Raw genomic sequence first — 26733 nt, forward strand, 5'->3', positions numbered from 1 at the left:
TTATCAGTGTTCATAGACCCACTGTTAAAGATACATTCATAATGTCATTGTTAGGGGATAGATGCTCTTAAAAATATTGACTTCTGCCCTATGAATAGTACTCTAAAGAGTGTATTGTGAGGAAAATAAGCAAATATATGACCCCCTCTAAGTTTAGTAAAGTTCTTCAAAGGTCGCTTTCCCCATTGACATTATCTGATTTGATCTCATTAATACAATGCTTATATTTTAGTTTTTCCTCATATAGACCTTATACATATTTTTCTAGATTTGTACCTAAGTTTTTTGTGTGTGTTAATGCAAATGGTATTTGTGTTTTTCATTTTAAATTTCAATTGATCATTGCAGTTGTATAAAAAAAGTTGACTTCTGTATGTTAACGTTGTGGCCTGCAACTTTGCTATAATTGCTTATTTCCAGGAATTTTGTCAATTCTTGCAGATTTTCTTCATAGGAAATGGTATCATCTGAGGACAAAGAATTTTATTTCTTCCTTCTCAACCTGTACACCCTTTATATCCTTTTCTTGTCTTATTCTGTTAGATAGAACTTCCAGAGCAATGCAGAATATAGTGAGAGAGAATACCCTAACCTCATTCCCAATTTTAGGGGAAAATCATCTAGTTTCTCACCATTAAGTATAATGTTAGCTGGATATTTTTTGGTGATGTTCTTTATCAAATTGAAGAAGTTCTCTACTCCTACTTTTCTGAGAGGTTTTATCATAAATTGGTTTTGAATTTTGCCAAATGCTTTTTCTGCATCTATCAGTATTATAATTTTTCTTCTTAGCCTGCTGATATGATGAATTAATTGATTTTTGGTATCAAACCAGCCTTACATACTCAGAATAAATACTATGTGGCCATGATTTATAGTTGCTTTTATACATCGTTGGATTTATTTTGCTAATATTTCTTGAGGAGTTTTGTGTCTCTGTTCGTGAAAGACATTGGTTCATAATTTTTTTTTTCTTGTAATGTCTCTGGTTTTTTTGGTATTAGGGTAATGCTGGCTTCATAGAATGAGTTCAGAAGTATTCCCTCTGCTTCTATTTTCTGGAAGAGATTACAGGGTATTGGTATAATTTCTTTCTAAGATATTTGGTAGAATTTTCCAGGAAAACTATCTAGGACTATTGTTTTCTCTTTTGAAAGGATGTTCAAGCTCAGTCGCCCCCGCCAGCCTGTTCACCGTGTTATCCTGCTGCTCTGCTGCCCCACTCCTCCACCAGTCACGATGGAAGAAGAGATCGCCACGCTTGCCATTGACAATGGCTCCAGCATGTGCAAAGCTGGCTTTGCTGGGGACGATGCCCCCCAAGCTGTGTTTCCCTCCATCATTGGGCACCCCCGGCACAAGAGCATGATGGTGGGCATGGGCCAGAAGGACTCCTACGTGGGCGACAAGGCCCAGAGCAAGCCGGCATCCTGACCCTGAAGTACCCCATTGAGCATGGCATCGTCACCAACTGGGACGACATGGAGAAGATCTGGGACCACACCTTCTACAATGAGCTGTGCGTGGCCCTGGAGGAGCACCCAGTGCTGCTGATCGAGGCCTGCCCGAACCCCAAGGCCAACAGAGAGAAGATGACTCAGATCATGTTTGAGACCTTCAACTCCCCGGCCATGTATGTGGCCATCCAGCCCGTGCTATCCCTCTACGCCTCTGGGCGCACCAGTGGCATTGTCAGGGACTCTGGAGATGGGGTCAGGGTCACTCACACGGTGCCCATCTACGTGGGCTATGCCCTCCCACATGCCGTCCTGCATCTGGACCTGGCTGGCAGGGACCTGACAGGCTACCTCATGAAGATCCTCACCGAGCGTGGCTACAGCTTCACCACCTCGGCCCAGCGGGAGATCATGCCCCACATCAGGGAGAAGCTGTGCTACATCACCCTGGACTTCGAGAAGGAGATGGCCACGGCCGCATCTTCCTCCTCCCTGGAGAAGAGCTAGAGCTGCCCAATGGCCAGGTCATCACCATCGGCAATAAGCCATCCCGGTGCCACTAATGTGGCAAAGCCAAAATTTTAACCAAATCTGATTTCAGTGCTCTGACCCAGAAAGTTCTTATGCTCACATCAGCTATTCAGATGTTAACATTTGGTATTTTAAATTACAGAATGATACATATCTGAGATAGACCTCTTCAAGTCTTCCTTATAAATTAGAAACTAAAGATTTTTCAAACAGAAATACTTTCAACTTTTCAAGAAGCTTTAATTTTGTCTCATAAGATGTGAATCGACTGGATCTGTTATTTAGAATGATTAGCACACTGGGAGTACTGGCAGCAAAGCCTTTGAAATTGATAAAAATATGTGCTGTAATCGGACAGAGATCATCCATTTGTTACGCCATTCCAAAGTTCCCTGTTATTGCCTGTGACATTTCCCAAATCATCTAGAGATTCAAGCTGTTAGAACAGTTTCTTTTATCAGTCATCTCCAGAGGCTCATCAAACTGAGAATTGTATAATTTTGTATTTTTAAATCCATGTGGCACTTGCCACAGACAGAACCTTTGGAAGATGATATTGTTGGTGTCTAGCCTTTGGTTAAGATCAACACTTGATGGGTGATTTTTAATATTAATAAAAACAGCTAGCTTAATGTTAAGTCTTTGTTCTTTTAAAAGACTGAAGAGAAGAGAAATAGAGTAACTACACTTGTGATATCACCTAGTATATATTAATACATTAAATATGAAAATTCAGTGAAAACTCTACTTTCAAATTTTATTCTTAATATCCATTACCCACATTTATACTTTGTCATTATGTGTTTATAATTATATCTAATTTCATGTTGGTGTGGGTATCTTCACAAACATCTAATAGACATAGAGTTTTTAAAAAAATGGTATGTGTTGGCCGGGTGCAGTGGCTCACACCTGTAATCCCAGCACTCTGGGAGGCCAAAGCTGGCGGATTGCCTGAGCTCAGGAGTTCGAGACCAGCCTGGGTAACACGGTGAAACCCTGTCTCTACTAAAATACAGAAAATTAGCCAGGCATGGTGGCATGTGCCTGTAGTCCCAGCTACTCGGGAGGTGAGGCAGGAGAATTGCTTGAAAACAGGAGGTGAGGTTGCAGTGAGCTGAGATTGTGCCACTGCACTCCAGCCTGGGCGACAGAGCAAGACTCCATCTGCCCCCCCCAAAAAAATAATATGTGTATTCTTTCAATTTTTTTCCCCTTTAGGTTTACAAAGAAATAATATTGCCTCAGATGACCACTTCTTTGTTATTGTTCTTTACAGGATGAATAAAGAAACATCAACATTGTTAAAGAAAACCCAGTGAAAAATATAGCTAACAAGTTTCTAAAAACTCTCACTAATCCCAAGAACTAGACTACAACCTGATTAGCTTGTATGTGTGCTGGTTCCAGTTTCTAGACTTAATATTATACTGGTGAGAGCAGCAGTATTGGTTTCTAGAGATTACCAATTTATAAAGTGTTATATTGCTGTTACACTGTTCACATGGGTTTGGAGAAACTGGGAAAGCATCATTACCCATCTTCCAAATTCCCATTACATTTTTTCCTATAGCTTTTCTTTATTTTATTTTCTTATAGGTAAAATGGAATGGCAGAGCAGTGTGTTTCTGAGAGTTCCATTGCTTCTGAAGTGATACTTGATACCTGATAATGGATTCTGTTCTTTGTTGACATTTGGAAAATCACTTTCTTAATTCATTACAGAACAGGAGCATGGTTAAGAACACAGTCTGATGCCAGACAGCCAGGTGCAATCCCAGCTGTGCCACATATGAGTTGCATAATTTCAAGCCAGTCACTTAACATATTTTAGTTTCCTAACCTGTAAATGGGCATATAGTATTACTTATATCTGGCTCATTGGAAATATTAAATAAATATTAGTTTATTATGAATGATAGTATTTATTCCCAACCCATGAGTAGTAGTGTATTTTTTATGTTCCTGATCTAGCTGATAGAAAAGTCGATTGGGTTTGTAACTTTGACTTCCTCTATTAACATTTCTAAAGCCAGTTCACCAGAATGCTTCAGCATGGTTTGTTTGTTTGTTTTTGAGACGGAGTCTCACTCTCTCACCCAAGTTGGAGTGCAGTGACGCAGTCTTGGCTCGCTGCAACCTCTTCTTCTGGGGTTCAAATGATTCTCCTGCCTCAGCCTCCCAAGTAGCTGGGACTACAGGCGCGTGCCACCGCAGCCGGCTAATTTTTTGTAGAGATGGGGTTTCACCATGTTAGCCAGGATGGTCTCGATCTCCTGACCTCATGATCCACCCACCTAGGCATCCCAGAGTGCTGGGATTACAGGCGTGAGCCAACGCGCCCAGTCTTCACTGTGTATTTTTTTAAAGGAGGTCATGAAGGAGCCAATATTTAGATTAGTTTTATAGTGTGTTTGATTTCAGAAAATGTTTTGAGTCCTGCAATGTAAGTTAATTAAAAAAAAAAAAAGAGACACCCAGCAAATCTTGGGCTTTTTGAAAACCGGGATCATATCTCCAGAACACTTGAGAAACGTTTTTCCACTCAGGAAGAAACATGCCAAGTTCAATTGTTCTTAGGTAATTTAAGCTAAAAGAATCTGATTTCTCCAAAGGAAATGTGGTCAAGACAAATAATCTGTACTCATACAGAAAGTGCCAGGGAATCCATTGTAGATACTGCTTTTCAGGAGCTGAGTGAAGTGAGTTTAGAAAGTATGAATTTGGATTGCCTGGTCAGTCTTATACCCTCTAAGTGGCTGCATAAGCACAAATTAGGAAAGCATTATTCATGAAAGATAGACTCCACTCCAAATGAATGTGTAACTATTAGATCCATCCAAAAGAAACTTCCCTCGAATTCCCTTTGTCTCGATTTATGCTTTCGGCATTTCTAGACACATCTCAGTGTTAAAATCTCTCTTCCATACAATTAGCTTGTATAGCTGCTGGGGTAGAATATGATATCTGCTCTTCCAGTCCCAAGAGTAATTTCTGGACCAAGCATTGCAGTGGAGATGTACGTGCAATGCAAGGTACAGGAATGCACTTTGATGATTTTCCACCTATGCAGATTACGTGCTCCATGTGAAACTTTACTTTCTGCTTTGGCATGAGAGATACTGAAATATGGTGGGGTTAGAAGTTAAACAATAAAAGTTTGGCCACTCCCTAGTATCAGTGAAGGGTGACACCAGCTTTTCATGGCTCACAGCATTGGTTGGAGAATAGAATAACCTCTTCAATAAAGTTTAAGGTTATACAAAGTAAGTCTCAAGCCAGATTTGTTCACTGGATATTTACTATATGTGGCAGGCATTGCCCTGGGAGCTGTGGTGCGTGTGAACAAGATGGGGTCCCTGCCCTGGATGGGAGCAGGAGAAACATTCTGAAGGGATGTAGGAATGGGAAATGCATCCTGGTAGATTGCAGTACATCAATAAAACTTCCTAATAACCCCGAGGAAAAGAAAGGCTAAACAACAGGCCCAACATGACAAGTGACAGTGTTAGAAAAGAGATAAGACTGAGTACATTAATAATGAGTATTAAATAAACATCAGAGATAAAAAAGACTACAATTCAGCTAAATCACGTCGATCTGTGGAAATGAATTCTAGGCTGTGCATTACTGAGAAGATGGGACTTTATTTGGTTTCCGTAGGATACAAACAATGAAAAAGGAGAATATGTGCATGAGAGAGGACAGGTTAAGAGGGGTGGACAGAAAGAGAGAGAGAGAAAGGGAGAAACGGAGAATTGCAGGTGGACAGTAAAGAACAAAAGATTTCGGAGGTAGGAAAGGCCTCATTGCATCCAGAGGATGTTCAGTGAAGGACAAAGCTGGAGCCCTGGGTTGATGGGAGGTGAAAAACCTGGAGGTGCATCTTGTGGCTAGAAGGTTAAAGTCCTTGGAGAAATGAGCCTTTGGAAGGTTTTGCAGAGGGTAGTTTTTGGAGATTACTTCTCGGGAAAGAAGTGAATTTAGGAGATGAGGAAGTGTGGGTCTGAATTGCCTGATCTTATCTTGTCCTCTAGAAGTGGAAGAGTGGTTTAGGGTGATTAACTTGTGTGCATGATAGATTAGAATGGCAGCCGAGCGGGCACAGTTATCAGTCTATGGTGTAAGTCCAGATGAGAAGAGAAAATGTCTGGGAAAGGCTGGTATGGTGGTGATAGCTAATTGTGTACCCCTCCATCCATCATCCCCTTCCTTCATAGGAACGGAAACCTAATTTTCTGCTGGGCACAGTTCCAGCCAGCTCTAAAACATCATGTTTTTCACACTCCTTGCAATTGCATGTGGCACGTGGCTGAATTCTGTCCAGTGAGATGTAAGAAATATGTATGGACTGCCAGAAAAGGATGCTGTCTGTTTTCATTGCCTTCCTCCTGGCTTGGAAGGGGCTATATGATAGCTGGAGATCTGCCTGCTCTCCTGGACCACAAAGTGCCCCAAAGATAGCAAAATGTGTGAGGATGGCAGCTTAGAAAGGAAGGGAGGACACAGCTCCTGATCACTTCACAGGGCTGCCACAGCGGTTCTGGATGCCTAATCAGGATTATTTTTTATGGGGGAAAAAATAAATGTTTACCTTGTTTGGGCCTCTTTTACTTGGAGTTTTTCTATGTTAAGAAACCAGACTTGACCCCAACTAAGAAAATGTTAAGTGACAGAAGGTGAAGAAATGGTAGATAAAAAAACTATTCATTAGCATTAGTTGGAGAAGTGACAGGTTGTTCCAGCCACAGCTTCTATTTTGTCAACATGGCCTCCTTGACATTTCAAAGCATGGGAGAGAAGGCAGATTCCTAGTTGTGCTCATGCAACTTAGAAAGCATGATTAAGCTTAGGCTGCTCAGATGCATCCTGGGAGGAGGTACTTGTGAGTGCTTATGCTCAGGTTAAGAGATGATTTTCCTGAAGTTTGTATGTATTAGGTCTCTTTTTCACATTACAGTATTCTTCTCCTTCCCCTCCCCATTCAGATACTTCCTCAGCTACTGTGACTCTTATATATTTTTGGCATCTTATGACACTATAGACTGATACTACAGATTCTTTCAGGAAGAAAATAGAGATGGGGGTCTTGCTATGTTACCAAAGCTGGTCTCAAACTCCTGGCCTCAAGTGATCCTCAAGCATTTTTACTTTTGATACCCCCAAATCACAAGGAATCCTTTAACGAGACCAAAGTCAATGAGGGCTGCAAAACACCTCCTGATGCTTGTCTACTTAAACTAGAAGTAGGCGGCAAAAAGCGATTTATCCTAAGGGTTTTAATCCAGATCTTATATAGTGAGATGTGCCTAGAGCAGTATGGCATCAGTAGCAGCATGAAGAATTTGAACCGCTGAACAAGAAACTTAACAAGAACTTAAGTAGGTGTGACTCAGAGATGTTGGTCTCATTAGTGGGAAAGGCAGCAGATTGTATAAAGATGCCATTTGGTTTAGACATGTTGGATTTGGTCTAGACATGTTGGATTTCAGATGATGCAACATATTCATATGGAAATGTCTAGTATAATTATAGAACCAGACAATGTAAGCATTGCAGGAGACCAGGCCACCAGTGGTCATCTTCTCCATGCTTGTACACCTACACATTGCAAGAAACTCATTAATCAGCTAGCTCATCCTTTTACTTGGCTGGCTGACCCACAGGCCAGGCTTTTCATGGCTGTTTCTGTTTCTCCTGACCTGATTTCCCTGAACACAGTTAATGGGCCCAGGGTGGACACCTGACCAAGACTGGTCCACTGAGATTCTTTCTCAGAAATTTGGAATTCAGACTGACATCCATCATATCAGTTTCTTTAAAGAGTGGCTGTATCCTACCCTGGGGGCTGGAAGCAAAAGACAGACAAACATTGGTTAAAAAAAAACAAACCTCTGGAAAATTTTGCTATTTCTGATTCTTGCCCCTTCCTGAGGCTCAGCAAAATCCATCCTTTGTGGTTCCATGGAATTTCCCACTTTTCTCATAATAAAACCTTTATTGCTCAAGGTGCCTCAAATTGGTTTCGCTTAACTTGCCACCAAATGATCTTTACAAAGAACACATAGAATATGAACATTCTTTAGTATTACCATGGTCTGAGCACCTGGCAGGGGTCACAAAGAACCCTAGCGGAAACACATCGGACAGAACATGATGCCATTTTTTCCAAGTCACAAGGACAGGTCACAAGTGCACCCAGGACTCACTTGTCCTCTTTGCATACTGTGTCTAGCTGACTACCAAAGCCTTGGAAAGGTGCCAACATGCCAGTACTTCCTATCTACTTTGACATGATACACTACTAAATATGGGTAGGTTTTGATGTAATAACCTGATATTTTGGTTGTGGGGAATTACCAAATTGGAAAAGAGAGAGCCCACACCAAAAGCAGGGTAATCAGGCAACAACTGAACCACGGAGGATTTCTCAAGGAAAATGCAGTGCTCTTCATTGATTTGGCAGCAAACAAATTCCAAGTGTTTCATGTTTCTCCTCTGGGTTGCCATGTGTATTAGTCTGTTCTCATGCTGCTTATAAAGAACTACACATGACTGGGTAATTTATAAAGAAAAGAGGTTTAATTCACTCACAGTTCTGCCGGGCTGGGGAGGCCTCAGGAAAGTTATGACTATGGTAGAAGGGGAAGCAAACATGTCCTTCACATGGTGGCAGAAAGGAGAAGAATGAGTGCCGAGACCAGCTCGGTCATAGAGACCCTAACCCAGCGGCACTAGAGGAATTAAGACAAAGACACAGAAATAGAGTGCAGAGTCGGAATCGTGGGCCCACAGCCTTCAGAGCTGAGAGCCACGAACAGAGTTTGACCCACATATTTATTGACAGCAAGCCAGTGATAAGCATTATTTCTATGGATTATAGATTAGCTAAAAGCATTCCTTACGGGAAACAAAGGGACAGACTCTGGCTTGTTATCCATAGCAGGAAGATGTCCTTAAGGCACAGATCGCTCATGCTATTGTTTGTGGTTTAGGAACGCCTTGAGCGGTTTTCTGCCCTGGGTGGGCCAGGTGTTCCTTGGCCTCATTCTGGTAAACCAACAACCTCCAGTGTGGGCGTCATAGCCATCATGAGCATGTCACCGTGCTGCAGAGATTTTGTTTATGGCTAGTTTCTCATGGCCTGTTTATGGCCAGATTTGGGGGGACTGTTCCTAGCAGGAGCTGAGCCAAAGGGGAAACCCCTTATAAAACCATAAGATTTTGTGAGAACTTACTCACCATCATGAGAACAGCAGCATGGGGGCAATTGCTTCCATGATTCAACCACCTTATCCTGGGTGCCTCCCATGACCTATGGGGATTATGGGAATTATAATTCAAGATGAGATTTGGGTGAGGACACAGCCAACCCATATCACCATGTATGTACATCTGTGTTCTCTTAGGCATTAAAGATGCTGCCTCTGGGCATGGAAGGCTTTACTTTTACAAATTTAGGAGTGAAACATCAACATAGAAACAGGGAAGCAAAGCAGCTTAGTTTTTAGAATGACTTCAACTTTGTTCTCTGCTTTCTGTAAATCAATCAATGAAAGAATGTCTAAAAACTTTGAGACAGACGGGATTCAAAATGTTTTATGATTCATAATGTGCTTCAAATGTTAGCTGACTACCAAAAGCTGCAGTACATATCAGGCTTTGAAGCACCCCTCTCTCCTTGCCCCATCCTTACTTCCTCATTTTCCTAGGGGTAAAAGATAGGGAAGGAGTAATATTCATACGTTATGTTGGATATGTAATGTTCTGTAGCCAGAAGCCAGGCAGTGAAATGTATAGGGTTGGTACAACAGTAATCAAGGTTTTTGCCCAAGTAATGGCAAAAACCTCAATTGCTTTTGCACCAACCAATATTAAGATGAGAGCTAGAATTAAGATGTTTCCTTGGTCATTCATTGTAAAAAATTGATGATTATTCTACTAGAAGTGCACATTTAAAATTCTTTCATGTATAATAAATTGCTAGTCATGAAGTGTAAAGAACTACAAGAAGTGTAAACATGTCAGTTTTTCACAGAGATGAATATTAATGAAGGACATAACCCTTGTTTACATATTTAGACAAAATTGTGAGATTTCTTGACTTGCTATTACCTTAGCAAATCTCAAAAGTGATTAACGGTTATTTCTCTTTGCTTTTTAAAAAATAGTGTTTGGCCTGATTTTGCTGTTGGATGGGGCCATCCAAGTGTCACAATAATAGGAGAGTTTTATTTTGGGATGATTTAGACTTCTTTGCATACTACTTTTTGCATGGTAACACATTATTCTGCTTTAGAAAGATTTTGCAAATTCCCCATGTTTCAGAAAGAGTCAAAGCAAATGCCCAGTTTTTTCCCTCAGGGTGTTTAGTTGGGACCCAAAGAATGACAGGGGAGGGGACGGCCACCTTACAGACCGTGGACATATAGGACAGAGCAGCCTTTAATTATCAAAATGCTCATCAAACAACTGGTGCAAGTCTACATTATAAAGTGGGCTGGCAGATTTATTTCCAAATGTGTTTTTCTTCTCGTTTTGTTTTTGGTTCATTTGAGGCAAAGAATGTTCCATTGGTTACCTGATTAAACATAAAATTGCTGTTTTCTTAGATTGCCTATTATCAGAGGTAGGTATTAAGCTAGCTATTAATGGTTTGAAATTATTCAAGTTGTGAAAGTGCTATAGATTCGTGAATATTCAGTTCTTGGAAGACTAGAATACATAAAGGAGCTCATTCCTGTGCAGAGGATAAGAACTGGATAAGGGGAAGTGTTGGTTATTCAGGGACAGTTTTTTTTTAATTGTTGACTATATACATATACCTATATATATATAGGTATATGTATATATGTATATAGTTAACTACATATATTTTTAGGTATTTAAAAATAACATTTTAAGTTAAAAATGTTGCATATTATAGTTAAATTCTATACCTCAAATCACATGGGATGTATTAATTTTGCTTTCAGCTTAGTTCCTCTTTACTCATTTGGGCAGTTTAGGTCATAGTACATGTAATATATGATTCTCTGCCAAATAGTATAAAACAAATTTATGTAAATTTTTCCAAAGTACAAAAGTACTTCACAGAGTGATACGATCAGTGAAGGAAGGATGTCTAAAAAAGTTTGGGAAATGCTATGTTTTGTGTTCTCTCTTTGGGATTCACAAAGTTAATTCTCAGAAGTCTTTTAATAAAAAAGGTGTTTAGCTAGAGATTTGCCAAGCAAAAACCTTCTCTGAAGTACTGTCTATGAATATCTCCCAGAAGCTTTGGGAAATGCTGCTGGAAAGCATGGTAATTTGATCAACTCTTGTGCTGAGGCCTCTTATAGAAGTCAAATAGCACACAGTGAAACTGTCTTGATGATGAGCCCACTCAGACATTGGTATTCTCTTGTCCCATTAGCTAGATTTCTGCCTTAAGTTGTTCTCTGTTTGTTGCTCTTGTTTTTGAGTTACTTTTTAAAGTCCTAAACTAGGTCACTACTGGCTGCTCCATAACAAAATCCCCAATTGACACCCTAGACCTCTTATGAATAGGACTCTTTCCTCTGAGCCCATGTGCTCTTGGGACCAGCTCCCGAGGGCATGACTCTGGACATAGTGATAGGCTGCCTGCCTACTTGCATGTCTGCATATTACTTGCCAGTTAAACCACCATGAATAGCCTGGGTTTCTTGTGTTTGTGCAAAACCATAGATATTGGATGTCATTCATTTAACACATATTTATTGAGTGTCTACTCTGTGTCAGACATTCTTCTAGACTCTGAGTACACCAGGGAATATATCAGATAACTTCTCTGCTGTAATGATACTGATGGTTGGGGAGCCAGGTAACAAACACATCGGTAAACAGTGATGTATGCTGTGAATTGGATATGAGGATTGAAAATTCTAGAGTCACAGAACATATGGTGATTTTAGATGTTGTGGGTTAATAAAACTCGCCCTGCATGAGAACCTGAGATTCAGTCCAGCTGTCTAGATCTGTTTCTCTGGTAGTCCGATAAGGGTAAGCATGCCAACTATATTATTAAGCAAGCTTGCTTATGATAAAAATGATGTCACATTAGCAAATTGCATCTGAACCAGAGGCACCGCAAATAAACTCTAAGTTTATTTATTTATATGGAGGTGCTATGCTTTAGGCTTCTTTGAGTCCATGAGTCTTGTAATCAGCATGCTGGTTGTGGAGAGTCTATAAAAAATGCCTGTAGATTTATTGCAAGAGTTATTAGTTCTTGTGGGGCAGAAGGCATTTAAGCCAGGACAATTCCTGCAGTGTGTGACATGGATCTCTTCCTGCCCCATTGTGGACGATAGCACATGAGTTGCTGCAAGGATGCCCAATGCTGTAGAGGGACCCTTGAGACTATGGTTTTAGCAGGCTCAATTTTGTTCCTGTCCTTTTTAGTGAATTGGAGTCCTGCGTGGTGCACAGTTGTCTTATGAGATGACACGTTAAGTGTAACCTAATAAGGTCTCCTGATGGGTGCAGCAAAAGAGGTGATCATAATGAGCAGAACACAAGTGAGGGAGGGAGACAGGTGAAGATGGTCTCAGGCAGGGGGAAGAGCAGGCACGGAGGCCCTGGGGTAGGAGCAAGTTTGTCATGATGAAAGAGGAGCAAGAATGCAAGTGACGCAAAAGATTCGTGAGAACTTCTGCATCTGTGAATTCATGCATGTGCCTAAACTTTTGGAGAGTAGGTGTGGTCATGGGAGTAACACAACCGAATGCAGTGTTCTCAAAGTGCTGTTGGGATCACTTCATTCCTTTTGTAAAATATTCATTAATGCTGAAAAAAATTGAATTCTGATGCTGTTTTGAAGGAACGAAACTGTGACTTATGTTCACAATATACAGAGCTGCTTTTATGTGCCTTTGTGGCCAATATCACATTCCCTGTAGATACACATTTTTCCCAATTTGGGAAACTCGGGGAGAGACAGCTACCCCTATTATCACCTCCCTCTTCCTGTGACCCCAACCCTTCATATGCTTTATGTAACTGACACTCTCAGGGTTAGATGAGCATTACTGTCTTTAGTCTTCAGATGCAAAAGTTAAATGACAGGATCGCGGGTATGCCCTAAGGTGGTGGAACTGAGATATGAACTCAGATCTTTCGACATTTGTTTTTCTACTGCCCCCTGGCGGTGGCGATCTTTGATCAATGAGACACGTATTTGGTTCGCTCCTTTTCCTTTTTAGGTAACTGAACCTTCCTGTGGAGTCTCTCTGCATTTCCCTCATTCCTAAAGAGTCAGTTCCTGTTCAGAATCTCATATTTGGACCTTTAATAGCCTCTGACTTGCTCTGGCTGTTTCCAGACATGGTCTCAGTCATTCCACTTCTGCGATCATTCCCCAGGCTGTGATCATTGGTAAGCTATTATCAGAATGGACCATCTATTTCGGATACTCTATCAATTAACTGCAGATGTGATTGCTTGACCTAGTTGAATGCCCTGCAAAAGAAGGTGTACTCCAAGTCCAAGGAGGGATAGCCTTGATTGTTTTCTCACTTCCCTAGTCTAAATTCAATCTCTTGCTATGTATTTCTGAAAGGATCCCTAACAAATTAAGATTGCTGGAGTTCGATGGGGTTTGGCTGGAAGAGCTAAAATTGGGCTGAGAGAGTTCAGAGGTTGCTTGGCAGCAACAGGGGCAGCAGAGAGTTGTTGCAAAAGGAAGCTATGGTGGACCGATAGAAGAAGGAATGGCTGCTCTATTGCCATCTCAAAGCTGCAGCCAAGAGCCAGCAACTAAGGAAGATGCAGGGTCAGCCAGCCTTGAAAATGGAATAGGTAGCCAGACAGAATTGGGATGACAGAAGAATCAAAGATAGCAAACGGAAGCCTTTAAGATGGCACTGTCCAATAAAAATAGAATGCAAGTCACAAATAGATGCCATGTATGTGCTTAAATTTTCTAGTAGCCACATTACAAAAAAAGTAAAAAGAAACAGGTGAAATTAATTTTATCAATATATTTTATTCAACTCAACATCCAAAATACAACTTCAACATGTGTCAACATAGAAAATTATTAATGAGATAGTCTACATCTTTTTCATACAACAGCTTCAAAACCCACAGTGTAGACCAGGTGTGTTGGCTCATGCTTGTAATCCCAGCACTTTGGGAGGCCGAGGCGGGTGGATCACCTGAGGCCAGGAGTTTGAGACCAGCCTCACCAACGTGGAGAAACCCTGTCTCTATTAAAAATACAAAATTAGCTGGGCGTGGTGGTGCATGCCTGTAATCCCAGCTACTCGGGAGGCTGAGGCAGGAGAATCGCTTGAACCCGGGAAGCAGAGGTTGCCGTGAGCCGAGATCGCGCCATTGCATTCCAGCCTGGGCAACAAGAGTGAAACTCCATCTAATAATAATAAAAAAAAACTCCACAGCGTATTTTATACTTACAGCATCCCTGACGTGGAGTTGGCCGCATTTCAGGTGCTCAATAGCCACATGTGGTTAGCACTACCATATTGGACAGAGCAGCCCTAGGATAATGCTGGATAACAGACAATGATGCAAAGGGGCCCAGAAATGGTAGGGGAAAAGTAATGAGAGAGAGAGGCTGGAGGCTGGAGGCACAGACGGCCCTGACTGGGAGTTGTACTTTTTGACAAAGTGACAGCTTGAAGCTTCATTTTCTAACTTGGACTTTGCCTTTTATAATTTATTATAATGTAACTCTTTAAAGAGTGTGGGTAGGAAATATAGAATATCTGAGCTGGAAGTTCTCTTGGAGACTTTAGACTGAATAATAGGAATTGCAATTTGTTTTCTACTCCTGAAGCTACTACGATTAATTGGTTGAAGCTGCCCAAACCACTGGGTTGAGAAGGATTCTGAGGTTGTATCTTGCCTCAGTAGGAAAGAGCACAGTGATTGTCTTTCAGGGATGACACATATTTGCCATCATCCTTGATATAGTACAAAGGTCTCGAGGTTCTGGAGACCTACTGGACTCTGTGAATTATTACCGAGCTCAGTTTCTTCATTTGTAAAATAGGAATAATTGTCAGGAATAATTTAATTCCTGGAATAATTGTCAGGAATAATTTCAGGATTGCTGTGGACATCAAATGATATATGTTAAGGGTCTAACACATGGTTATAAATGCTAATTTCCTTCTCATTTTCCATTTACTATTTGATCATATTATTTATCAGGGGAAACGCCATATCGGGGGCACTAATCATTAGAGGGACTAGTCAGTTGCCGAAACCCCCAGTTGTAATTGGTATCACCATAAAGAAGATTATGACGAATGCATGGGTGGTAACAATAACATTATAGATCTGATCGTCTCCTAATAGAGTTCCTGGTTGGCCTATTTCAGCTTGAATTAGGAGGCTTAAGGCAGTGCCTACTAGCCCCGCTCATGCACCAAATAGCAGATACAGTGTTCCGATATCTTTGTGATTAGTTGAAAACAATCAATGGTTGATGAACATTAGTGGAAAAAGGGTAAAATGACTGAGTAAGCATTAGACTATAAATCTAAAGACAGAGGTCAAGACCTCTTTTTACCAGCCCTGAGGTGATTTTTCATGTTGAATTGCAAATTCAAAGGAGCAGCTTCAATCCTGCAGGGCTTCTCCTGCCTTTTCCCCCCAGTGGCGGGAGAAGTAGATTGAAGCCAGTTGATTAGGGTATTTAGCTGTTAACTAAGTTTTCATGGGTTTGAATCCCACCGATCTAGCAAGGGCTTAGCTTAATTAAAGTGGTTGATTTGCATTCAATTGATGCAGAATAGAGTCTCGCAGTCCTTAGGTTTATTACAGAAATTAAGTAAAATGTACTTACTAAGGGCTTTGAAGGTCCTTGGTCTTTTTTAACCTAAATTTCTAAATAAATAACACTACTGGAGAGACTGGTAAGAAGAAAATAGAAATGATAAGCAGAAGGAGGAGTAGTATGGTTTTTGTATTTTCGAATTGTCATTTTATTTTCATATTATTAGATGTGGGGAATATTGTCATTGAGACGGAACAAATTAGGCGTATATAAAAGTACAGGTTGAGTAGCATTATAATAGCTATAACGTTCGGGGTAATAAGACTATTGTTTTTTGTAAATTCTTGAATGATAATTCATTTAGGCAGGAATCGTGTTAATGGAGGTAAGCCACCTAGGGATAATAGAATTAGTGGAATTATAGGTGTTAATCATGTTAATTTATTTCAAGTGCCAGATAGTGATAGGGTTGTAGTGCATTTACTCAGGTTAAGTACTAGAAATGTGGTAATTGTTAAAATAAGATAAACAATCAGATTTAGAATGGTAATGTCTGGGTTATAAGTTAGTACTGCTATCATTCAGCCTATGTGAGTACTCGAGGAGTAGGCTAGGATTTTACAGAGTTGTGTTTGATTAAGTCCTCCTCAACTGCCCACTATAATGGATAGAATTGTGGAAGGTAGGAGAATATCCATATTTATTAATGGGAAAATGTGAAACATAAGAGAGATGGGGGCTAGTTTTTGTCGTGTGAGAAGAAGTATGCCAGATATTAGAGAGGTTCCTTGGGTTACCTCTGGGACTCAGAAGTGAAAGGTGGCTATTCCTAGTTTTATTACTAGAACCATTATTATTATTAAGGATGAAAATTGATTAATAGTATTTATTATTGTTCATTGTCTGGAGGACAGGTTATTAGTAAGGATACCTATTATGAGAATTATAGATGTGGTTGCTTGTGTAAGAAAATATTTGGTGGCTGCTTCTGTAGAGCAGGGATTAATTTTTTAAATCAAGATTGGGGTAAGAGCTAGTATCTTTATTTCTAGTCCTGTTCAGATAAGAAATCAGTGTGAGCCTAGCATTGTGTTAAGAGTTCCTATGAAAATAGTGAGGAAAGTAATAAGTTGGGCTAATGGGTTAATTAGTACGGGAAGGATATAACCAACAGTTTTGGGGTATGGGCCTGATAGCTTATTTAGCTGACCTTACTTTAGGACTTGGTGTAATAGGTAGCACGAAGAGATTTGGATTCTCAGGGGTAGGTTCAATTCCTATAGTTCTGGAACTAAGAGGATTTTAACCTCTGTTGTTTACTCTACCAAGTAATTGTTTTGTCAGACATATTTCGTATGTTTGAGGTGGAATTCTGGAAATTAGAATACGTATTGAAGTATATCATATGCAGAATGCTGGTGTAAGTGGTATGGAATTTTTTCATAGAAGTTATATGAGTTGGTCGTAGTGGAATCAGGGGTATGCTATTCAAATTCATAAAAAGAGGGCAGTTAAAATGAGGGTTTTGGTAATGAAATTTATGGTATAGAGTTCTGGTGAATATATAGTGTGCAGTGATCCTAGGAAAATAGTAGTAGTTAGGGCATTTATCACGATAATATTCATGTATTCTGCTATAAAGAAAAGGGCAAATGAACCTGCAGCATATTCAATGTTGAAACCTGAGACTAATTCTGACTCTCCTTCTGTTAGGTCAAAAGGGACTTGGTTAGTTTCTGCTAGCACGCAAATAAATCATATCATGGCTAGGGGCCATGATGGTAGGAGCAGTCATAGGAATTCTTGCATTGTGATGAGTGCATATAAGTTGAATGAGCCACTTATTAGTAGGACTGATAGCAGGATGATGGCTAGGGTGACTTCATGTGAGATTGTCTGGGCCACGGCTCGTAATATGCCGATCAGGGCATAGTTTGAATTGGATGCTCATCCTGATGATAGAATGGAGTAGACGGCTAGGCTTGATGTGGCTAATATAAATAGGAGGCTTACATTAAAATTAATTAGGGGATCCGGTATAGGGAGGGGGGTCCACAAGAGGAGAGCGATAGAAAGAGCCAGGGTTGGGGCAATAATATAAACGGGAATAGTAGATGTTGAGAATTGTAGGGGTTCTTTGGTGAAAAGTTTTATTGCGTCAGCGAATGGTTGGAGCTTTCCATAGGGGCCTACCGTGTTAGGTCCTTTGCGTATTGTATATAGCCTAAGATTTTTCGTTCAATGAGTGTAAGGAATGCTATAGCGATTAGGGTGGGAATAATAAGTAGGAGAAGGTTAATTATAGGCATATTGTTAAGAAGAGGAGTTGAACCTCTGATTGTAAAGTTTTAAGTTTTATGCAATTGCTGGGCTCTGCCATCTTAACAAACCCTGTTCTTGGGTAGGGTGTGTGATGATTTGTTAGATTGAGATAATATCATCTATGGGGCGAGGGCACTTTATGAAGTGGGCCCTATTTCTCTTGTCCTTCTGTACTAGGAGAAATGTTAAATAGATAGAAACTGACCTGGATTACTCTGGTCTGAACTCAGATCACGTAGGACTTTAATCATTGAACAAATGAACCCTTAATAGTAGCTACGCCATTAGGATGGCCTGATCCAACATTGAGGTTGTAAACCCTATTGTCTATATGGACTCTAGAAAAGGATTGTGCTGTTACCCCTAGGGTAACTTCTTCTGTTGATCAAATTATCGAATCAATGTGTGTCAGCTCGCTTACACTAGTGCGGTCTTAGTCTAGGCTGTTTGGAGGTTGAATTATACTCCGAGGTCACCCCAACCAAAATTTTAATGCACAGACAGTATGCTAAGGCCTGTAGGCTTTTTGAAGTTTTATTTGCATTAATGAGTTAAAGCTCCATAGGGTCTTCTTTTCTTATTTGTTTATACCCACCTCTTCACGGATAGGTCAATTTCACTGATTACAAGTAAAAGACAGCTGAACCCTCGTGTGGCCATTCGTAAAAGTCCCTATTTAGGGAACAAGTGATTATGCTACCTTTGCACAGTCAGGATACCGTGGCCGTTGAACATATGTCAGTGGGCAGGCAGTACCTCTAATACTGGAAATGCTAGAGGAGATATTTTTGGTAAACAGGCCGAGTAAGATTTGCAGAGTTCCTTTTACTTTTTGTAATCTTTCCTTAGAGCATGCCTGTGTTGGATTAACAGAATAAATAATAAGGTGCTTGTTATATTGCTTATTAATATTAGGCTGTTAGTTGTCAGTGGGTTATTCCAGTCTGATATAAGCTTATGCAATGGAGAATATTTTCACGTTACTTATGTGAACATTATTGCTTCTATTAAATAACAGATTAGTCCAAGGTGTTGTTAGGAGTTCAGTAAAGTGATTAGAATTTAAGATAATTAGATGTTGAGGTTGAACGCTTTCTTAATTGGTGGCTGTTTGTGGGTCAACTATGGGGGTAATATTTTTTACTTTCTACAGAAAAGTTATTCCCTAGGGTCTAAAGAGCTGTCCCTCTTTAGACTAACAGACTTACAGGGAGCTTAAGTAATTCTGTGGGTAAGTTTAAAGTTGAACTAAGATTCTATCTTGGACAACCAGCTATCACAAGGCTCCGTAGGCTTGTCACCACTACTCATGAATTTTCCCACTATTTTGCCACACAGGTGGGTGTGCTCTTTCAGCTGTTCTTGAGTAGCTCGTCTGGTTTCGGGAGACTTGGCTATGGTTCTCTGTGTCAAGTTATTTCTAGCTAGTACATTATGCAGAAGGTAAAAGACTTTATCTTTGCTTTTTAGTGCTTAATTTAGTTCTTTCATCTTTCCCTTATGGTAGTGTATCTACTGCATCAAGGCATAAATTTCTATCGCCTACACTTTCGTCTAAGGTAAATGGTTTGATTGAGATGATTTAATAATATTTTTAGCGAGGTTTGGGGCTAGAATCGGCTCCATGTGATCAGGTCGTGATGAAATCTTCCAGGTTTAAGCCGGATGCTTTAGGTTAAGCTACACTTTGTCCAAGTATGTTTGTCCAAGCGCACTTTCCAGTACGCTTACCATGTTACTATGACTTATTTCCTCTGAATGTATGTAGAGAGTTTTAGCTATAATAATTTTTAGAACATTTGAGGAGGGTGACGGGCGGTGTGTGCATGCTTCATGGCCTTATTCAACCAAGCACTCTACTCTTGGTTTCCTGCTAAATTCTCCTTGAGCCCTTAGATTTCATAAGGGTTGTAGTAATATTTTCTGGGTATAGAAAATGTAGCCCATTTCTTGCCACCTCATGGGCTACGCCTTGACCTAACGTTTTTATGTGTGTACTTGTGCTTACTTTATTACCTTTTTAGGGTTTACTGAAGATGGCAGTATATAGGCTGGGGGCAAGAGGTGGTGAGGTATATCGGGGTTTATCGATTATAGAACAGGCTGCTCTAGAGGGGTATAAAGTACCTCCAAGTCCTTTGAATTTTAAGCTGTTGCTTGCAGTATTCTGGCGAATGGTTTTGTTAGTTTAACTATTAGAGCTTAGGGCTAAGCACAGTGGGTTATCTAATCCCAGTTAGGGTCTTAGCTATTGCGTCTTGAGGATATTAAAGCCACTTTCGTAGTATATTTTATTTCAGCTGGAATTTTTCACAACGTAGATGGAGTTTAGCTTTATTGAGGGCAAACCTTAAACACTCTTTACACCAAGTTCTATTAGCTTGGGCTAATCACATGGCCGCGGTGGCTAGCATGAAATTGACCAACACTAAATATCAGTATAGCTTAAACTTTCGTTTATTGCTAACAATTTATCACTGCTGTTTCCCGTGGGGGTGTGGTTGAGTAAAGCGTTTTGAGCTGCATTTGTGCGTGCTTGATACTTGCTCCTTTTGATCTGGATGATCTAGAGGGCATTTTCACTGGGGCGGGGATGCTTGCATGTGTAATCTCACTGAGAGTTAAAGATAGGCCAGGACCAAACCTATTTGTTTATGGGGTTATGCAGACGCATCCAGACATTTTCAGTGTCTTGCTTTAAAATAATTAAGCTACTTTAACTGTGTGTATATATATATATATATATATATATATATATATATATATATATTTCAATGTAGGTTTAAAATATGAGAAAGGAAGAAGTAAATGTAAATGGTTGTTTATAGTTCTGAGAATTCAGGGCTTTAAAATTGAATTGGCAAAGGTTTGATTAAGATAGTTATTCCTAATAAGAATATAATTGATTTAGGATATAATATATTGGGTAGTGCTTTCAGAGGGGTATGTTCAAGGCGTTATATTAGTATTAGGGTGGAAATTTAGTTACTATATTTACTATATAAATTGGGGTTTAGTTTAGTAGAAGGGGTTTAAGATTTTTAGGAAAATTTACATAAATCGAGGGATAGCTGTTGGGGTATTTATAGTTAAAATAAAATTTTTGGGCTCTGACGGGTTGCGTTTTAGTCTCTTGTTTTTGGGGTTTGGCAAGAGTATATTTGTCTAGGTTAATAGCAAAGTTAGAGATGGGGGGAGGGGGGCTTGCAGATTTAATTGGAAGAAGTTCCTGAAAGTAAGCGTAGGTGCGTGAGCGTAGGTGCGTGAGCGTAGGTGCGTGAGCGTAGGTGCGTGAGCGTAGGTGAGCGTAGGTGCGTAAGCGTAAGTGCGTGAGAGAACCTGCTTGAAGGAACCTGCTTGAGGGAACCTGCTTGAGGGAACGTGTGTGAACCTACCTGCTTGTTGATTAATTATTATGTCCTTCAAGCATGAATTAATTAACACCGTATGGTTGTTATGTGGGTTCGGAATATTCAATATAAGCTCAGCTTCTACAATTGATTTAAGTAGGAATCAAATCGGAGTACGTCTACAGAGGATTCAGAGGGGACCAGGCCTTCCGCGATGGTGAGTGATAGCATCCCCCAAAGTTAAAAATACCAAATGCGTGGCTATGCTCCCGTGACTGGTTAATAGGGTGATAATCACTAGTCCATCAAGATGTCTTATTTAAGGGGCATATGTGGGCGATCTTAGGTTTATGGCCCTGAGTTAAGAACCAGATGCCAGGTATAGTTTCAGTATAGTCACCCCCAAGTTTTATGGGCCTGGAGCGAGGCGGGTAGCACTCCCGAGCAGGATACTGATTTCACGGAGGTTGGTAGATTAAGAGACCAAAATTTGGTAGGGGATATCCATGTTGACGAGGGATTTCTTGAATGAAATGCACTATGTCCAATGAACGAACGTACGCAGTATGTAATGTTAGGGATTTTTAGTATGGGTCAATATTTGTGAGGGGTAAGTTTGTATTGTACGGTCAATGGTTGTAATGTGCGATAGTTAATTAGGTAATTTCTATTACATGCTTATATGCATGTGGACTAGGTTTGCAATGTACGTTAATTTATGAATGTACTATGTACAAGTAAGTAATTATAGTACTATATATTATTCATGGGGACTAGCAGTAATGCACGAAGTACATAAGAACACTAATGTATTAGTGCTAACTGATTAATACTGACACAGTAGTTAAAGTATGTGCTAAGTAAAGTTCAGGGAGTGGCTTAATTAGAATTTCAGCTTTGGATGTTGACAGTGAAGCGGGAATGGTTTTTCCCTGTGTTGTCCTGGGGAGGGGGGTTCTCCATTTCTGGTATACAAGTCCAGAGTATTGTATTATACTACAGGGGAATTTTAATTTAAGTAGTGAGTGGTGTAAGTGTGAGAATGGGAGAGAAGTATATAATAGATGCTGCCTGCCCAATCGTAATAAAACGGTATTCGACTGGCTGTCCTCCGATTCATGTGAGTGTGAGTAAGTCAGCCACTAGGATTCAGAATAGGCAGTGACTGAATGGCTGAAATATTACCCTTTGTTGTTTAGATGTGTGAAGTATGGGAATAACTGCTAGAATGAGAATGGAAGATATGAGTTCTAATACGCCTCCTAATTTGTTAGGGATGGATCGTAAGATTGCGTATGCAAACAAAAAATATCATTCTGGCTTAATGTGGGGTGGGGTATTAAGGGGGTTGGCTAAAGTGTAATTATCTAGGTCACTCAGGAGATCAGGTGAAAATAGTACTAGAGTTGTTAGGAGGAGGAGGAGAAAAATTAAACCTAGAATGTCTTTGGTTGTGTAGTAGGGGATGAAAAGTGATTTTGCTGGGGTCTGATGAAATCCCTAAAGGGTTGTTAGATTCTGTTTCATGTAAAAATAAAAGGTGAACAGTTGCTAGAGCTGTAATGATGAAGGGTAAGATGAAATGAAAGGGGAAAAATCGTGTGAAGGTGGCTTTGTCAACTGAGAATCCACCTGAGATTCATTGTACAAGGTCGGTTCCAATATTTGGGATGGCTGATAATAGATTTGTAATTACTGTAGCACCTCAGAATGATATTTAGCCTCATGGGAGTATGTAGCCTATGAATGCTGTTGCTATAGTGGTAAGAAGGAGTATAATGCCAATATTTCAGGTTTCTAAAAATAGGAATGACCCGTAGTATAGGCCTCAGCCAATGTGTAAGAAAAAGCAGATGAAAAATATTGAGGCGCCGTTAGCATGAAAATAGCAGACCATTCAGCCATAATTTACATCTCAGCTGATATGAGCAACTGACGAGAAAGTGGCTAGGGTAACTGATGTAGAGTGTATGGCCAGGAATAACTCTGTGATGATCTGGAGAATAAGGCAGGCACCAATAAGTGAGCCAAAATTTCATTTTGTAGAGATGTTAGATGATGTAGGAAGATCAATAAATGCGTAGTTAATAATTTTAATTAGTGGGTGTGTTTTGCGGGTATTGGTCATTGGTGTTTTTATAATTGAAAACGATGGTTTTTCATATCATTAGTCATGGTTATAATCCTTGTAGGAATAATAGCATATGCTTTATTTTTATTGAGTATTCTCTTAGTTATAGGGTTTGTAGGTTTTTCTTCAAAACCTCCTATTTATGGAGGCTTGAGTTTAATTATTAGTGGTGCTGTGGGTTGTGGTATTGTGTTGAATTTTTGTGGGGCTTTCATGGGATTAATAGTCTTTTTGATTTATTTGGGTGGTATAATGGTTGTTTTTGGTTATACTGCGGTAATAGCTATTGAGGAATACCCGGAAACATGGGGATCAAGTATTGACATTTCAGGGGATTTATGATTAGGATTATTAATGGAGTTGATGTTGGTTTGGTGAATAGCTGAATACGATGGGGTTGTGATCACAATTAATTGTAATAGCTCAGGGAGTTGATTAATTTTTGAGGGGTAGGGGTAGGGGTTGTTGCATGAGGATCCTGTGGGTGTGGCTGCCTTGTAGAGTTATGGATGTTGATTAGTGGTAGTTGCTGGTTGATCATTATTTGTTAGCATTTATGTCGTAATTGAAATTTCTCGGGATAATAGATTAGACTATTAACAATAGGGTTAGAGGGATGGAATAAAAAAGGAGAGAAAGTAGAGTTTAATTGGGCCTTTTTGAGTAGATATGGTAATGGAAGTTGAAACTTGGGTTTGTGAAATGGACTTTGGCTTTTGCTATGGACTTTTCTAGTCAAATTAGGTCTAGTAGAAGTAAAGCCAGATTTTGGTTTGTGAATAGGCTTGAGTGGGGGATTGAACGGTGAATTGTGAGTGAATAAAATCCTAGTATATTAGAGAAGTTGAATGTCTGTAATGGGAACCTTAGTTTAAGATTATTAGTTATGAGATTAAGCTCTATTGCTAGGAAGAGGCCTAGGGTGGTCACAGCTAGGGCTGTGAACTTTAGGTGAAGTGGTATGGTTGTTTGGGGAGATGAAACAGGAATAATACTGTTGGTGATGAGGAATCCAGCGAAGATGCTACCGATTTTTAGGCACTTAGTTGGGTTAATTAGGAATGGATTATTTTCGTTAATAATAGAGTTATGAAGCGAGGCTGTCCTATTAGAGTGAAGAATACAGATACTATAGACAGCTGTTAAGGAGGTGGCAATAAGAGTAATAGAAAGTGCTCAGGCGTTGGTATATGAGGTGTTTACGGTTTCAATAATAAGGTCTTTAGAGTAAAAGCCTGTGAGGAAAGGCATACCAGTAAGTGCAAGGCTACCAATAATAAAGGAGGAAGAAGTAAAAGGTAGAGTCTTGAATAGCCCTCCTGTTTTTCAGATGTCTTATTCTTCATTGAGGTTATGGATGATGGGCCCTGAACATACAAATAATATAGCTTTAAAAAAGGCGTGGGTGCAGATGTGAAAGAATGCTAGGTGCAGCTGATTAATGCCAATTGTGGCTATCATAAGGCCCAACTGGCTTGAGGTGGAGAATGCTATGATTTTTTAAATATCATTTTGCATTAGAGCGCAGATTGCTGTAAATAAGGTAGTAGTAGCCCCTAGACAATAACGTGAAGGTTTGGATTAATAGGTTATTTTCTATTAAAGGGTAGAAACAGACGAGTAGGAAAACACCTGCTACAACTACAGTGCTGGAGTGGAGCAGGGCTGAGACTGGGGCTGGGCCTTCTATGGCGGATGGGAGTCGGAGATGGAGGCTGAATTGAGCTGACTTTCCTGTGGCTGCTAAGAGAAGGCTAATTAATTGAAGGGGTCATGGGTGGGATTTAGAATAAACGCTTGTTGAAGCTTTTCATGTGTTGGAGGTTAAGGGAAATCATGCTATAGCTAAAATAAAGCCAGTATCTCTGATGCAGTTATACAGAACTGTCTGGAGGGCTGCTGTATTAGCATCTGCTCGGCTGTACCATCAGCCAGTTAGTAAGAAAGACATGATTCCTATGCCTTCTTATCCCACAAAGCGTTGAAAGAGGTTGTTGGCGGTAACCAGAATTAATATTGTGATGAGGAAAATAAGTAAATATTTAAAAAATTGATTAATGTTAGGGTCTGAGTTTATGTATCATATTGAGGATTCTACAATAGATCAGGTAACGAATAGTGCTACTGGGATAAATATGGTGGAAAAGTGGTCTCGTTTGAAGCTTAGTGAGAGTTTAATAATTTGAATAGTTATTCAATGTCAGTTTGAGGTAATGACTTGGTCTATACATATAAACATTGCTGTGGGGATGAGGCTAATGATGAAGGCGGCTGCGATAGATATTTTTACGTAATTTGGGTATGAACCTTTTTTGCAGGGATTAATTAAGGTGATAATGATTGGTAGGCTTAAGGGGATTGGGGTTATTATAGTAGTGGAAATATACATATTTGTTACTTTTATTTGGAGTTGCACTAATGTTTTTGGTTCCTAAGGCCAACGGATGACTAATCCTTTAAAAGTTGAGAAAGCCACGTTGTTAGGCGTAGGGGCACGAGTTAGCAGTTCTTGCATACTTTCTTGATTGATAAGAAGTTGTACGCTTCTATTATTAGATCCACAGTCTAATGTTTGTGCTCGGTATCATACCATATTGTCTGGGAGAATATGATACGTGAAATGCTGTCCTTACCTGTAAGGATCCAGGTTTAAAAAATTATCATACATTAGTGAGTAGCCTGATGTAGTATACATTTTAGTGTCTTATTGCAGTTGAAAAGATATGTTATTTATAAATACATCATTCACAATGTAAATCTTTTCTGTTAAAAGAAAGGAAAGTCAGGGAAGGCTTTGTGAAGGATGTAGATCTTGAGTCAAACAGATACATAATGATATACATAATAATAGACCATTTTAAAGGACATGGACTTAGAACTCTCAAAATAATTCCCAAAGTAAACCCTTAAGCCTATCATTTCAAGCCCTTCCAATTGATAACCACATTTTTTATTTGTGGCTTATGTTAATGAGTTAGTGGAATTTATATATATATATATATATATATATATATATATATTTTTTTTTTTTTTTTTTTTTTTTTGAGCCGGAGTCTCATTCTGTCGCCCAGACTGGAGTGCAGTGGTGCGATCTCGGCTCACTGCCAGCTCTGCCTCCCAGGTTCATGCCATTCTCCTGCCTCAGCCTCTTGAGTAGCTGGGACTACAGGCGCCCGC

At 39.9% G+C, this 26733-nt stretch overlaps 10 pseudogenes across 1 annotated transcript in view, besides 2 other annotated features; 4 read left to right on the forward strand and 6 right to left on the reverse strand.

Annotated features, from left to right (window-relative positions):
* Positions 1–2730, forward strand: part of LOC100130331 (POTE ankyrin domain family, member F pseudogene) — a 66147-nt pseudogene extending 63417 nt beyond the window's left edge. The window contains exon 12 of the transcript NR_027247.2: positions 1158–2730. The product of NR_027247.2 is annotated as a POTE ankyrin domain family, member F pseudogene (transcript). The remainder of the gene's footprint in view (positions 1–1157) is intronic.
* Positions 925–1425: an enhancer, noted in NCBI's record as "H3K4me1 hESC enhancer chr1:238089816-238090316 (GRCh37/hg19 assembly coordinates)". NCBI's record gives its function as "activates a minimal SCP1, AML or CMV promoter by ChIP-STARR-seq in naive H9 embryonic stem cells {active_cell/tissue: H9 hESC(naive)}" and the evidence as "EXISTENCE:reporter gene assay evidence [ECO:0000049][PMID:30033119]".
* MTCO1P38 (MT-CO1 pseudogene 38) lies at positions 15172–15470 on the forward strand (annotated as a pseudogene).
* Positions 15302–15965: an enhancer, noted in NCBI's record as "NANOG hESC enhancer chr1:238104193-238104856 (GRCh37/hg19 assembly coordinates)". NCBI's record gives its function as "activates a minimal SCP1, AML or CMV promoter by ChIP-STARR-seq in naive H9 embryonic stem cells {active_cell/tissue: H9 hESC(naive)}" and the evidence as "EXISTENCE:reporter gene assay evidence [ECO:0000049][PMID:30033119]".
* MTND2P27 (MT-ND2 pseudogene 27) lies at positions 15867–16901 on the reverse strand (annotated as a pseudogene).
* Positions 16971–17042, forward strand: NMTRP-TGG1-1 (nuclear-encoded mitochondrial tRNA-Pro (TGG) 1-1; annotated as a pseudogene).
* MTND1P25 (MT-ND1 pseudogene 25) lies at positions 17111–18050 on the reverse strand (annotated as a pseudogene).
* On the reverse strand, positions 18065–18139 carry NMTRL-TAA3-1 (nuclear-encoded mitochondrial tRNA-Leu (TAA) 3-1; annotated as a pseudogene).
* On the reverse strand, positions 18133–19622 carry MTRNR2L11 (MT-RNR2 like 11 (pseudogene); annotated as a pseudogene).
* Positions 22426–23552, reverse strand: MTCYBP15 (MT-CYB pseudogene 15; annotated as a pseudogene).
* MTND6P15 (MT-ND6 pseudogene 15) lies at positions 23623–24143 on the forward strand (annotated as a pseudogene).
* On the reverse strand, positions 24151–25912 carry MTND5P18 (MT-ND5 pseudogene 18; annotated as a pseudogene).

This window comes from Homo sapiens, chromosome 1, assembly GCF_000001405.40.
Source record: "Homo sapiens chromosome 1, GRCh38.p14 Primary Assembly".
In the NCBI taxonomy this organism is placed as follows: Eukaryota; Metazoa; Chordata; class Mammalia; order Primates; family Hominidae; genus Homo; species Homo sapiens.